A 15,192-nucleotide genomic window follows, 5' to 3' on the forward strand; every position below is an offset into this window, starting at 1 on the left:
CAGTTTGTGTCCTAACGAGGAAATAATTATTTAGATTTCAACAATTATTTAGAATTGAAAAATTAAAAATTATAACTCTAATTTTTGCCTTTACTATGTTCCAGTTATTGTGCTAAATAGTTAATACGTATAGCCTTATTTAAGTTCTTATAACAGTCTTATAAAATAGGTAATATTATTATCTCCATTTGAAAACTGAGGTTTAGGGGGATTAAATTACTTTAATCATAGAATCAGGAAATGGCAGAGTTGGGATTTCAGTTCAGAATATCTGATTTCAGTTTTCATGCTCTTAACAGTGATGCCATATTGCAAATGTCTATATTGAAAAAAAAGTCTATTTAGCCTGCTGCTTGTTTTGTAAATTAATTTTTATTGGCACAATGATATACCTTGAGAGCTACAAAGACAAATTTGTGTAGTTATGGCAAACAGAAACTGTATGCTCTGGAAATAAATGATTTAGTAGCTAGCCCTTTATAGAAAAAATCTGCCAACCTCTGGTCTGTAGACACCAACTTTAAAATGTTTTTCAAGTGACCTCCAGGAGAAGGAACCAGAAATGTACCCCGGATTTGCAGAAAAGGTGGGTGCTGTTTGTACTCTCAGTGAAATTGGTGAATGAATAATACAAACCTGGAAACCTGGCCTACCTGGCCTCCTGCAGTCTTCACTGTGTTGATTCAAGTCTATTATGACCTGTTCTTGTTGTCTTTCATGAGTCAGAGCAGAGGCCTTATCCCTTCCCCTCCCTGTCATAAATGCCTTAGAGCTTGGACTTGGATCTCAGCTTAATCAGTTTTGTCTCCACTTCCCCTTTCTTGCTTCAAGGTTCACATGTGTGCGAGGCAGATAATTCTAGGGGCTGCCATGGCTTGGCTAAGCTTCCCTTGACCACTGAGCATTTCTAAGGGAGTTGAGGCTGGTGGCTCCTCCTTCCTTCCTACTGGTGCTTCCACCTGCCTTGGTCTGAGTTGCAGTCCATGGGGCAGCGCCTAAGTGTCTGAGCACACTTAAGAATCTCTAGTGGTTTATGACCCAGACTTTGCCCTACCACCTCAGTCTTCTGAATGTTCTCTTCCCTGGACCCTGCTCCAGACACTTTAAATTCAGAAGAGGAAAATGTGCCCAGCCTGCCTGGAGAAAAGTGTCTGCTCCTAGCCAAGATCTCCTCATCACAAAGTAAGAATATCAGGTGGTGGAACCCCCATCATACCTGTCCCCTTCCTATACCTGGGTCTGTTGGGTAGATGCAGTCCTTTTTAGAGAGGCATAGTATTCTCAGACCTGTCGCCACAAATTGCTCCCCACTCATTCTTTCCCTATACTTTGTGTCTTTGAAACCTCTTTATCTTCTATGTTTAATATCTAGACTATACTTTCTTCATGGAATTCTAGATGTGTAAATTTACAGGGCTGGGAGGGTCCATATCTAGTTTAAGACCCTCATTGTAGAAATAGAAAGAGGCCCAGAGAAGAGAAGGGAGTGGGCCAAATCCACAAAATCCACATAGCTGATTACTCCTAGAGCAAGTGGGGCGAGAACCTTGGTCACTTGACTCAGGACAGTGACTTTTCACTCTTCTCTCTTTCCACCAGGAATGGGAATGACCTTTGACTTTAAACAAATCCAGACTCCAGTTTTACCCTGAATTGTTGGGGGAACATTTTGTTTTTTTTTTCTTTTTAGTATTTTCAATTCTTCCATGTCTTAGTTTTTAGGGTGTTGACCTGTGTTAATCCAGGCTATCTTCTAGCTATATCTGGTTTCCTCAGGTGGAAAATGTTAAATATAGTTAATATAAAATTTCACTCTAGAATCTGCTAGAAATGACGGAGGCAAAGTTAATGTATATATAAAAAAATCCACCAGTGACTGGTGGCCAGTAGGCTTTCAATAATTGTGAAGTCCCTTCTACCCCCTTGAAAGTACTGTGTTTCTCCCCTAAGCAGCACATTGTGTGTGGTGGTTTCATGGTTAAAAGTTTAGACAGACCCAGCAAATCTCTCTTCTCTTTTACTTCCTAAGTGTGTGACCTTGGACAAGTTACCTTCCCTCTCAGAGCTGAATTTTCCTCAGTTGTAAAATAGAGAGAATTAGAGTATTCATCTCACAGGATAATTGTGAGACTTAAATAAGAGAATGCATGTAAAATGGTTAACATAGGGCTTAGAATGTAGAAAAAAAGTCCTTTGTTTTATTGCCAATTTTATTTTTACTTATGACTAAGCAGCCATGACCTCAGAATAATAGTCAGGGCTGACAATTGTGCTTCAGAGCAAGAAGGGGAAGAGGTGGTGAGATGGAGGCTCTTTCAATTTCTACCTCATTTCTTAAATGGAGCTGTTGAAATCTACCCATGAGCTTTGGCTGGCCACACTGACAGTGTTCTCCTCTCAGCAAAGACCAATTAGCAAGTCCTGATAACAGAAGTACAACCCACCCCCTTGTAATTCCTCCTGAGATCCTAACCAGGATTTGTAAAACACCCGGATATGGGTAAAGAACCATCCCGGGTTTTGTATCAAACCAGGCCCCAGAGGAACAGGACATTCCAGTAGTTTTGTTTCTGGAAAAGAGGGCACCCAGCCCTTCCCCCTCCCTCATCCTCCCATCCCAGTAAACCCTGCCAAATTGGAATCCTGGACTTAATTTAGGAGAAAGGCCCTGTAACCAAGATACTGACTGAACATGGCTGGCGGACTCAGGCTGGGGTCTGCAGTGCAGCATTAATGGGCCGCTGACATGAATATGGAGTAGTTTTCTCTAGCAAAGGTAAGCTTTCTTTTCTCTCTTTTCAAACTCTACCTCACCTGCCTTCCTGTGCAAAAACGTTTATTTAGCTGGGTTTAAGGGAGTCCTGGCCACTAGGAGAAAAAGTCAGTGGCCAAAAAGTTGGAGGAGGTTTGGCTGATGTGCAGGAAAGTTAAAGGAGACAATAGGCTCCTTTTGTTCCTCTCGCCAAAATAGCCAGGACTACACTGGCTTGTCTGTTTCAGGGCCAATCCTGGAGCCATACAGAATAGTTCATTTTCCTGTCGAAATAGCTTGCTCATCTTCTGTTTCACAGGTTGAGGAATTTATTGAGGTGATGGATCTGAGGATTATGTAAGTGGGAACTCAGTTACTTAAAAATAACCATGTTTGGTTTCATATTTTGAGACCAGATTGGCACAGAGTAAGCCAATAAATGATAGCTTAACTAAGCTAAACATCTGAATTTGAGTAGTCTTAGTTTCTACATAGCAAAAATCTTTTAGAAATCATTGGTTCAAATTCTGGCTATTTTTAACAACTGGCTGCGTGACTTTGAGCAAATCCTTGCACCTCTCTGGTATCAGTTTTTTATACATCAAATGAGGGTGATTGAAAAAGATGGTTTCTAAAGGTTTCATGCATGTGTGAATCTATAACACGTTCAGTTTTTCATTACTCAGCATCTATTATATGACAAGCAATCCTTTTGCTAGGGACTCAAATATCCATGGTTTTATTTGGGCCTCAAGACAATCCTGTGAAAAAAATATCATCCCATTTTTTGGATGAGATGACTAAGGCTAAAATAATTTATTGAAAGGTCACATAGCTATCACAGACAAGAGATAGGATTTGAATCAAGGTCTTTAACTTCAAATCGGTATGTTTTCTATCACAGAGTTAAGAAAGCAGAGGACCAAAAGGTGAATTTTGATGGAGGGTTTATTAGGAAGGCTGCTGAGAGATTGAAGACAGGGCCCCAAAGATGGCTCAGCATTCCTTTATTCAGTTGAGTAATCCTTTGTTTAGGATGAGCCTGTCTAGCCCAAAGTAGTATAACTGAGAAAGGGAGATGGAGGGAGAGAAAAGAGCATTGTCGCAATAAAGGAACAGTTTGCAAATTCTAGGGAACACAGCAATGCAAATTGTTATGAATAATAGGGACCAGACCCAGGTGACACTGGGATGGCAGGAAGGTAAGGTAAAGGTAAGGGAGGCTTAACTTTATATTGGCTGATCTTCTCTCCAGGTTGGCACAAGGTTTCAGTATATCTTAACTAAACTATCCAAATAGCCTAGAATTTTTCTTTCTTTTTTCCTTCCTTTGAGTGCCTATTCCTTCTGCCTTCCTTTTTATTTTGTATTTTTTACTTTTTTCCAGGATTCTTTCTCAACTTACTTATTTCATTTCTCCTTTTATTTCTTCCTGTTCTTTTTCCTCATCAGTCTGGTTCTTCTCTATGGGCTTAGCTGAGAAAAAAAATATCCTTGCCCAAGTGAAAAGCTTACACAGGGCTTTCACATCTTTCATATTATTTGACCTTTATTACAAACTAATGAGGGGCCCAAAGTAGAGACAATCCTCATTTAAGACATGAGGAAACTGAGGCTCAGGAAGTTAGGGACTTGTTCAAGGTTATATAACCAATAAATGATGAATCCAGAGCTAGAACTTACTATTTTCTGGTGCCTGAACGCTTTCCACTGTACCATGAAATATCTAAGTGGTTATATTTTATTTTATTTATTTATTTTTTGAGACCCGTGTTTCACTCTTGTTGCCCAGGCTGGAGTGCAATGGTGCGATTTCGGCTCACCACAACCTCCGCCTCCCAGGTTCAAGCGATTCTCCTGCCTCAGCCTCCCGAGTAGCTGGGATTACAGGCATGCACCACCATGCCCAGCTAATTTTTTGTATTTTTAATAGAGATAGGGTTTCTCCATATTGGTCAGGCTGGTCTTGAACTCCCGATCTCAGGTGATCCACCCACCTCGGCCTCCCAAAGTGCTGGCATTACAGGCGTGAGCCACTGTGCCTGGCCTAACATCTAAGTGGTTATAAAGGATTTTATGGGTTTTTCATTTTTTCTGCTCTTTTAGTATATGATAAAACCAAATTAAACAGCAGCAATAACAATGACAAATTCAAATTTGAGGAGGATAGAAAGGATGTCAATAATTAGAAGGAAGAAAAATACTTATCAGGTGCCTACTAAGTCCCAGCTGCTGCAAAAATTTATCTTATTTAGATATAGAGTAAAACAGTACTTAAACCTAAGTTTGTCTGACTCAAAAGTTCTAGTTCTTTACATTATACCATGTTGTTTCCAAGAAGAGAGTTCAGCTTGGGCTGTGTGCATTTTCATACCTATGTTTATATTCCTGTATGCTTAGAATGTGTTACCATATATGGGAATTTATGAGTGTGCACATATTTATTGCTATTCATAAAATGGAAAATCTTTATGGCCCTGGCAAGTTTCATTTCCAAACTATTTCCTTACTTGCAATAGTAATAGCCACTAATACCTTTTGATCACTTACATGTGCCCTTAAAGTACTTACAGATCTTAATTAAGTTAATCCCCACAAAACTCTATGAGGTAGCTAATAGTATTAATACCATTTGAAAAATAAAGACACTGTGGCTAAATAAATGAAGAAGTTTCCCAAGTCATACAGCTAGGAAAAATGGAGCCAAGATTCACTTAGGTAGCCTGATACCAAAGCCTGTGCCCTGGATGCAAAATCGAGTAAGTATTCCTTATCTCTCAAGATCTTGAGAATTATATAAGATGGCAGATATGAAAAACACATTGTAATCTGGAAACTGCTAGGGGTATGTTAGGTGGCATTTCCCACCACTCCCCAGATTCTATTGTTTAAGCCATTTGGATCATAAGTCACCACTGTTGAATGCTTGTTCACTGTATGCTGATGGCCTGTACTAGTCTCTCCCAGGAATATTTTCAGTTTTATCATGTGTTTCTCCAGTTGTGGAGCTCTTGCCTGGGACAGTTTTCTGTCTAGGTAAATGAGTTCAAGGCACAACTGCTTTGTTGACACCTCTCTGAGAAAGAAGATTGAAAGGGGTCCATGTTGCATTCAGACTTGGAATGAACCGAGGACACTCCCTCCCTGTTGAGGATTCCAAGGCATGACTATTTGTGTGACCATATATAGAGCTATGTGTAGGTGTATGTGAGTACGCCTGTGTTTCATCAGTGAATGTAAGTATTGGCAGCATGTGAAAGCTGGAAGGACTCTTTGAGAGCTCATTACATACCACATTTTTATGGTTCTGCACTTAGATTATCACACTTCTGTGACTCCCTCAAAAGGTAAGAACTATATAGTCCAGCTTTATATAGTCAATTATTTTATAGATGGGAAAAATGAGGTGAAGAAACTTGCCTAAGTTCACCCTGAACAAGTATTAGAACTTGAACCAGACCCAACTGATGGAAAAATGTATACTTGTGCTTCTTTATGTCACTTTAACAATAGCTGTTATTGCCCATCTACTTGGCCTCCATCGCCATGTCGTAATAGATACACAGCGACCTCTAAAAAATGACATTCTCTCTCAAGGAGTGTGTAGTCCAATCTGGGAAATGAAGACAGTTCATGAGGCAGGTCATGAGATGGAAAGGTAACAATAATACAGAGTCTGACTTAATCTAATTGGGTGCTATAGACAGTAAGTAGCCCTGCAGAGGACAGTGATATGAAGAGGCTAAAGGTGGCCTTCTGGAGCAGTTAGTATTCAAATTAACCCTTGGAGTAGGAATATAGAAAGTATGATGGATGTGAGACTGTAGAGATGAATTAACAAACTGCAGCCAGGAGGGAAAAGGAAGAGGAAGGCAACCAGTAGTTACTACTGCCTACTATGTTCCAAACATGGATTATACTTGTCCGTTTCATGTAAGCTTTCTGATTTATTTCTCCAGGGCTGATATTATTATACCCATTTTACAGATGAGAAAACTGGTTCTGAGTGGTTAAGTAATCCCCAAGGCTACACAGCTGGTCAGTGGGAGAGCCAGGTTTTGGAAAAAAGGACCCCAAAACAGATCCTCTCTTACATCAAGAGCTTTCTGCCAAATATAATATGGAATCTAGGGATTAACACTTGGGTCACTGCTGCGTATGGAGAGGACTGAGAGTTTGTGAAGTAGTCTATAAGTTTATTTCTTAAAAAGGGTAAATATCTGGGGATTTTCTATCCATATGTGAATCTGTGCATATATTTGATTCTCAATTTTTTATTAACAATGCCTATTTCATATGCTTGGGTTGAAGATTTAGCGAAATAATTTATATAAAGCACTGGACATGGTGCTACTATGTAATGATCTGTCAGTGAATAGTAGCCATTATCATCATTATCATTAATATAATCTATTAGTTATATCTCTGCCTACATGAGTATGTATGTCTGTTTGTAAAGTGATTATAACTGCATGTAATTGCTTGTTTCAGAATGTATGTGTTTTTTCATAGATATGGCTGTTGCTATAGGCATATGTATGTTCTCTGTGTATATACATGTGAGTGTGCAAGTATATTTTTGTGGAAGGTAGTACAGCATGGTGATTATGCTGGAGCCACACTTCCTGGGCTCAAATCCCAACTCTACCGATTTTTATCTAGATGGCCTTGGGCAAACTGCTTTACACCTCTCTTCTGAAGTTTCTCCATTGTAATATGGGGATAATAATGGTGTCTACTTCATAGGGTGGTTGTGAGGAATAAATGATTTAATCTGTGTAAAACATTTGGAACAGATGTACCATGCACATACGATAAATATAGCTTTATTATTATTATTCTGAAGTTGACTAAGATTTTATATAACAGAGTGATTTTATGTGTAAATGGAAGTGTGTGCATCTCTGCTTTTAGGTAAGACTACATGTACCTGTGTGTGCAAGTTTATGTATTTATGTGATGTTGTCTGTGTTTCTGTGTTTGACTGTAACTGTGTATGGTATCACTGAGTGCTTCGTCCTAGTCCCAGGAAGTCTAACGTCCTGTCTTATGCATTGAAGTGAGAGGTTAGAATCTTGGGTCTGATTCTGACTCAGGATTAGACCTATGAAATGAATTTATGAATAGCCTTGGGAATCAGCAGACAACATTTCTTCTGAGAAGTTCAAAATACTTCCCTCACATACTGTCATTTATTTTTGGTTCATTGTTAACTTTTGAAGTATAATACACATAAAGTGCACAAATCGTGTTTATAGCTCAATGTATTTTCACAAACTGAACACGCTTTTACAACCAGCATGTAGATCACAAAACAGAGCATTACTTAGAAGCCCTCCTCTTCCCTTCCCAGTCACAGAATCCTACTTCAAGGCAAACATTATCCTTACTTCTACCAGCATAGATTACATTGGCCTGATTTTGTACTGTATTTAAATGAAATCATACAATATGTACTCTTTTGTGTCTATTTTTTTAAACATTACATTTGTCATAATCATTCATATTGTTGTGTGTAGTTGTAGTTTGTTCATTATTATTGCTATAAAGAATTTCATTTTATGAATAAAATGCAATGTATTCATTCATTATAGTGTTCACGAACATTTTGACTGTTTCTATTTTGGGTTTATGAATATTCTAGTAAATATTTTTTAGTAAATTCTCACTTGTTGTTAAGTACAATTTATAGAGGATAGGAAGTGGCAACAACAATGAGTGTTCCCCTTTTGCCTATGGGAAAAGAGAGGCAAAGGGAGAATTAGTGTTAGTGGCCCAATAAGGCTTCTGGTGCCTGTTTCCTGATTCTTGGGACAGAGCACATTCTTCCTGCTACACCATTGAAAAAACTGGATCCAGATCTCTCTTCTGAAGGAACTAGTAATACATGATTAGCAGCACGGGTGACTTTTTAACTATGCCCTTCAAAATCCAATCATTGAAAACTTATTGAATTAAAAGGAATCAGGTAAGTTAAAGAAACTGGGCTAAATGGGTTTTGCTTTCTCAGTCACTCAACCTGGCTCTTGCCTCTTCAGTTTTCTGGACACGTAGAAAGCCCCTTTGTTCTCTTTCTTCTACACCAGCAGTTTTTATTTGCCTGTTTCCCAGAGTAATGTGGGCCATGGAGTCAGGCCACCTCCTCTGGGCTCTGCTGTTCATGCAGTCCTTGTGGCCTCAACTGACTGATGGAGCCACTCGAGTCTACTACCTGGGCATCCGGGATGTGCAGTGGAACTATGCTCCCAAGGGAAGAAATGTCATCACGAACCAGCCTCTGGACAGTGACATGTAGGTTTAATTTCTTGTGGTATTTGAGGGGAAGTTATGGGAGCACTCTTGAGGTCAGGAAGTAGCCTCTTGAGGCCCCTTTCCCAGGGTGTGGTAGCAGCCAGCTCCTGATTGCTCCGAGCTGTACATACTCAGTGGCAGATTTCCTGGGAAGAAGGCTAGTTGAGTCAGAAGCCAGCATTTCATCTGGAGTTTGCCGTAACATTTTTAGAGTCCTAAAGAGAATTCCATATTTGCTGTTTTCTAATCTCATACCCACAATGCTTACTTATTTAATAACAACTGTTTGACTTTAAAAAAGAATAATGAAATATATACAGTGTTTGTAAGATGTATGGGTGGGAGCTATGCTTCTATAGTTTGGTGAAGCTACTGTATATTTATTTCAGATATGTGAAAATGTGAAAAAAGAAAGTAAGCCTTAGAATCAAGGAATTAATGGTAATAATTCTCACTTATGTAATACTCTGTGACACAGACCATACTAGAAATTTACATACTTTGTCTCAACTCTCACAAAAACTCTAGAAGGTAAGTATGTGTGTAGTTATTTTATAGATGAGAAAACTGAGGCTCAGAGAGGTCAAGTGACTTATCCAAGTCCTATAACTAGTAAATGAAAAAGATAGGATTTGAACCTCGATAATGAGAATGTAAACTAATACTCTTCTCACCACTCTGTCCCTCATAGATCCCACAGGATTAACCTTTCCTGATCTTAGAAAATAGCAAGTGCTCCACAAATATCTGTTAAAGAATAAATGAATGTACGAAAAACTATTTTGTGACCATGACTCATTTTTTTCTCTCCAAAGCTTTGGAGTTTTCCAAAGTTGATTGTAATATCTCTGAGTTCTCTGAGAAGAATTAGAGTATAGTAGGAATAACAACTCTGTCTTTTTTGACACAAAATATTCATCTAGTTTCAGAGTCAGAGTCCTTGTATTAATTTTTTTGAGGGAATAAATTCATTATCCTTCATCCCTAATACTTTGTAGTAATATTCCACATTTATTGAACTTTTACTATTTGCCACTGTCCTAAGCTCTTCGTGTATTTGAATTTTTTTTTTTTAGTCACCAGTAAAAGCTGTCTGAGTTAGGAACTATGATTATTTCCATTCCATTTTACAGATGGGCAAATTGTGTTCAGAGAAGTTAAGTAACTTGTTCAACATCCCACTAATTTGGAAGTGGCAGAGTCAGCAATCAATCCAAGTGGCTTGGCTCCAAAGCTTGGAGTTATAAGCACTATGCCCTAAGGCCTCCCATATGTATCAGAATGATGCTAAGTCAGGCTACATTGACGAGGAGTCGATCACTTAAGGAGTCAGTCCACAGTTGGTTGTCTCTTTGTTACTGCATATTGTGTCAAGCTATGTGAAATTGCCTTTTATGTGGGTTTAAAGTGGTCAAATATGAGCAATTTCATATGCTGATATTTGAAATTTTTAATAGTTAAATCTAAAACTTTCATGTTTTGATCAGTACAATGCCATTTCCTCTTGTTTTGTCCTAAACAAAGATAGTCACTTTTTGGTCAGTATCCTCTGGAAAAGGAACCTCTCAAGGCTTGAAGATGGGGGGCAAAATTATGACTCTTTTTCTTCTTTCCCAGAGTGGCTTCCAGCTTCTTAAAGTCTGACAAGAACCGGATAGGGGGAACCTACAAGAAGACCATCTATAAAGAATACAAGGATGACTCATACACAGATGAAGTGGCCCAGCCTGCCTGGTTGGGCTTCCTGGGGCCAGTGTTGCAGGCTGAAGTGGGGGATGTCATTCTTATTCACCTGAAGAATTTTGCCACTCGTCCCTATACCATCCACCCTCATGGTGTCTTCTACGAGAAGGACTCTGAAGGTAAACCATTCCACCGTTTCTTTCCCCCATGCCCAACAAATATCACTTTTCCTTTATTGCCAGGTGAAGGAGAAGAACTGGTAGTGAAGATTTTCTTTTCTTCCTATTTATCTGAGGTGGCAAAGACTCTCCTCAGAGTAAACAAGGGTGGGCACTGGTATCAGTTCTGCCATTCATATACTGTGTGACTTGGACGAGTCATTGTCTCTCTCTGGGTCTCAGATTCCTTCTCAGAAATGTGAAGACACAGTCTACCTCTTAACACAAGGAACTATTTGAATGGCATCTCCATAGAATATTTGAATATTCTATGAAAAGAAAAGAGAATGCTATAAATGTGAAGGATTGTCATCCTAGTGTCACAGTCTTCTGAAAGTTCCATTTTGTTTTTCCCTAAAGGGGAGTTCAGCTTATTTATCTCTATCTCCCTTATTCCTGGCCCAGTAATTTATAATACTGACAACAGTGAGTAAGAGGAATAGAAAGGGAAGTCAGAAGACTCTGGCTGGGCCACTAAATCCCTGTATGATCCTGGACAAGTTACTTTTCCTTAGTTTTCTCTTCCATACAATGGAGAAGTGAACCAATTAATCATTAAGTTGACTGCAGACTGAAATTCTGTGATTGCCTGCTTTTTTATTTTAAGTGAGTGTTTGAAGGGAGGGAATTCTGTCTTCTTGCTTCTATGCCACCAGCTTTATGCTATGGCATTACCAGATCAGGCCAAGCTGTACTTTTCCTAGCCACAGAACTTTTCCAGTGGCTACAAGCTTTCCACCCATTGTTAATGTGAGGACTGGATTTTTTAGGTTAAATGTTACCTAAATCTGTGCTCTCCTTAGGTTGTGAGGAATACTATGTAGGTCATTAGCATGCTACATTTTATAAGACTGGACCTAGGGTTCTACATGTCAGCTCTGTCTTAATTTATGTATTTGCCACGGTCCCTCACTTATTCTGGGCCTGTGCATGTACAATTTCATTTCTAGGTTCCCTATACCCAGATGGCTCCTCTGGGCCACTGAAAGCTGATGACTCTGTTCCCCCGGGGGGCAGCCATATCTACAACTGGACCATTCCAGAAGGCCATGCACCCACCGATGCTGACCCAGCGTGCCTCACCTGGATCTACCATTCTCATGTAGATGCTCCACGAGACATTGCAACTGGCCTAATTGGGCCTCTCATCACCTGTAAAAGAGGTACAGGTCCCAAGGATAAGCTATGAGGTGTAGTTTGGGACATCTAGGGGTAGCAGTGATATGGTTGAACCACCTACATATTGGACAGCAGCCTGAGGAGTGCTAATTCAGCACTCTTGTTTATTAGCAAGAAAAATCTCTGCTAAACTCACTTTGCACTATTTTTTTTTTTGCAATTTCATTACTTTTTTTCTTTGTTTGTGGGTTAGGAACAATTTTTTTTTCAATAGGTTATTGTGGTACAGGTGGTATTTGGTTACATGAATAAGTTGTTTAGCGGTGATTTGTGAGATTTTGGTGCACCTATCTCCTGAGCACTATACACTACACCCTGTTTGTAGTCTTTTATCCCTCGTGCCCCCCCAGCCTTTTCCCCAAATCCCCAAAGTCCATTGTATCATTCTTATTCTTTTGCACCCTCACAGTTTAGCTTCCACATGTCAGTGAGAACATACAATGTTTAGTTTTCCATTCCTGAGTTACTTCACTTAGAATAATAGTCTCCAATCTCATTCAGGTCGCTGCAGATGCCGTTAATTCATTCCTTTTTATTGCTGAGTAGTAGTCCATCGTATATATGTACCACGGTTTCTTGATTCACTTGTTGATTGATGGGTATGTGAGTTGGTTCCATGATTTTGCAATTGTGAATTGTGCCACTATAAACATGCATGTGCAAGTATCTTTTTTGTATAATGACTTCTTTTCCTCTGGGTAGATGCCCAATAGTGGGATTGCTGGATCAAATGGTAATTCTACTTTTAATTCATTAAGCAATCTCCACACTGTTTTCCTTGTGGCTCTACTAGTTTACATTCCCACCAACAGTGTAAAAGTAGCTGTTCCCTGTTCACCACATCCAAGCCAACATCTACTGTTTTTTGATTTTTTTTTGATTATGGTCATTCTTGCAAGAGTAAGGTAGTAGCGCATTGTGGTTTTGACTTGCATTTCCCTAATCATTAGTGATGTTGAGGATTTTTTCATATGTTTGTTGGCCATTTGTATATCTTCTTGTGAGAATTGTCTATTCATGTTCTTAGCCCACTTTTTGATGGGATTGTTTATTTTTTTATTGTTGATTTGTTTGAGTTCATTGTAGATTCTGGATGTTAGTCCTTTGTCAGACGTATGGATTGTGAAGATTTTTTCCCACTCTATGGGTTGTCTGTTTACTCTGTTGACTGTTCCTGTTGGCGTGCAAAAACTCTTTAGTTTAATTAAGTCCCAAGTGTTTGTTTTGATTGCATTTGCCTTTGGGTTCTTGGTCATGAAATCCTTGCCTAAGCCAATGTCTACAAGGGTTTATCTAATGTTTTCTTCTAGAATTTTTATAGTTTCAGGTTTTAGATTTAAGTCCTTAATTCATCTTCATTTGATTTTTGTATAAGGTGAGCGTTAAGGATCCAGTTTCTCTTACATGTGGCTAGCCAATTATCTCAGTACCATTTGTCGAAAATGGTGTCCTTTCTACACTTTATGTTTTTGTTTGATTTGTCAAAGATCAGTTGGCTGTAAGTGTTTGGGTTTATTTCTGAGTTCTCTATTCTGTTCCACTGGTCCAAGTGCCTATTTTTATACCAGTACCATGCTGTTTTGGTGAAATGGCATTATAGTATAGTTTGAAATCAGGTAGTGTGATGCCTCCAGATTTGTTTTTTTTGCTTAGTCTTGCTTTGGCTATGCAGGCGCTTTTTTGGTTCCATCTGAATTTTAGAATTGTTTTTTCCAATTCTGTGAAGAATGATGGTGGTATTTTGATGGGAATTGCATTGAATTTGTAGATTGCTTTTGGCAGTGTGGTTATTTTCACAATATTGATCCTACCCATCCATGAGCAGGAGATGTGTTTCCATTTGTTTGTGTCATCCATGATTTTTTTCTGCAGTGTTTTGTAGTTCTCCTTGTAGAGGTCTTTCACCTCCTCAGTTAGGTATATTCCTAAGTATGTATGTATGTATTTATTTTTTCAGCTATTGTAAAAGGGGTTGAGTTCTTGATTTGATTCCCTGCTTGGTCAATGGTAGTGTATAGAAGAGCTACTGATTTTGTACATTAATCTTATATCCAGAAACTTTACTGAATTCTTTTATCAGTTCTAGAAGCTTTCTGGAGGAGTCTTTAGGGTTTTCAAGGTAAACTATCATATTGTCAGCAAACAGTGACAGTTTGACTTCCTCTTTACATATTTAGAGGCCCTTTATTTCTTTCTCTTGTCTGATTGCTCTGGCTAGCATTTCCAGTACTAAGTTGAAGAGGAGTGGTGAGAGTGGGCATCCTTGTCTTATTCCAGTTCTCAAAGGGAATGCTTTCAACTTTTCCACATTCAGTATAATGTTGGCTGTGGGTTTGTCATATATGGCTTTTATTACATTGGAGTATGTCCCTTGTATACCAATTTTGCTGAGAGTTTTAATCATAATGTAATGTTGGATTTTGTTGAATGCATTTTCTGCATCTATTGTGATGATCATGTAATTTTTTAAAAATTCTGTTCATGTGGTGCATCACACATATTGACTTGCATATGTTAAACCATCCTTGCATTCCTTTCATATGCATCAAGTGAGTATGAAACCCACTTGATCACAGTGGATCATCTTTTTGTTATGTTGTTGGATTCCATTAGCTTGTATTTTGCTAAGGATTTTAGGACCTATGTTCATCAGGGATATCGGTCTGTAGTTTTCCTTTTTTTCTTTTTATTATTATCATACTTTAAGTTTTAGGGTACATGTGCACAATGTACAGGTTTGTTACATATGTATACATGTGCCATGTTGGTGCGCTGCACCCATTACCTCATCATTTAGCATTAGGTATATCTCCTAATGCTATCCCTCCCCCCTCTCCCCACCCCACAACAGTCCCTGGTGTGTGATGTTCCCATTCCTGTGTCCATGTGTTCTCATTGTTCAATTCCCACCTATGATTGAGAACATGCGGTGTTTGGTTTTTTTGTCCTTGTGATAGTTTGCTGAGAATGATGGTTTCCAGCTTCATCCATGTCCCTACAAAGGACATGAACTCATCATTTTTTATGGCTGCGTAGTATTCCATGGTGTATATGTGACCTAGGCAATAC

At 38.9% G+C, this 15,192-nt stretch overlaps 1 protein-coding gene across 26 annotated transcripts in view; it reads left to right on the forward strand.

Annotated features, from left to right (window-relative positions):
• HEPH (hephaestin) overlaps positions 977 to 15,192 on the forward strand; it is a 106,193-nt gene continuing 91,977 nt past the window's right edge. For 11 of the 26 annotated variants that reach the window (NR_159801.2, NR_159800.1, NM_001367233.3 and 8 more), the window contains exons 1-4: positions 2,553 to 2,776; positions 8,864 to 9,043; positions 10,661 to 10,905; positions 11,895 to 12,107. Coding sequence is in view for 21 of the 26 variants with exons in the window: in NM_001367233.3 (NP_001354162.2) it covers positions 8,877 to 9,043; positions 10,661 to 10,905; positions 11,895 to 12,107 (625 nt within the window). In the remaining 5 variants the exon portion in view is untranslated. Of the gene's footprint in view, positions 1,183 to 1,599; positions 2,777 to 6,055; positions 6,100 to 8,838; positions 9,044 to 9,432; positions 9,575 to 9,734; positions 9,811 to 10,660; positions 10,906 to 11,894; positions 12,108 to 15,192 lie in introns of those variants that run through there. The other 15 variants (XM_011531075.3, XM_011531074.3, NM_138737.6 and 12 more) reach the window with 7 other exon arrangements.

Source organism: Homo sapiens, chromosome X (genome assembly GCF_000001405.40).
Source record: "Homo sapiens chromosome X, GRCh38.p14 Primary Assembly".
Classification (NCBI taxonomy): Eukaryota; Metazoa; Chordata; class Mammalia; order Primates; family Hominidae; genus Homo; species Homo sapiens.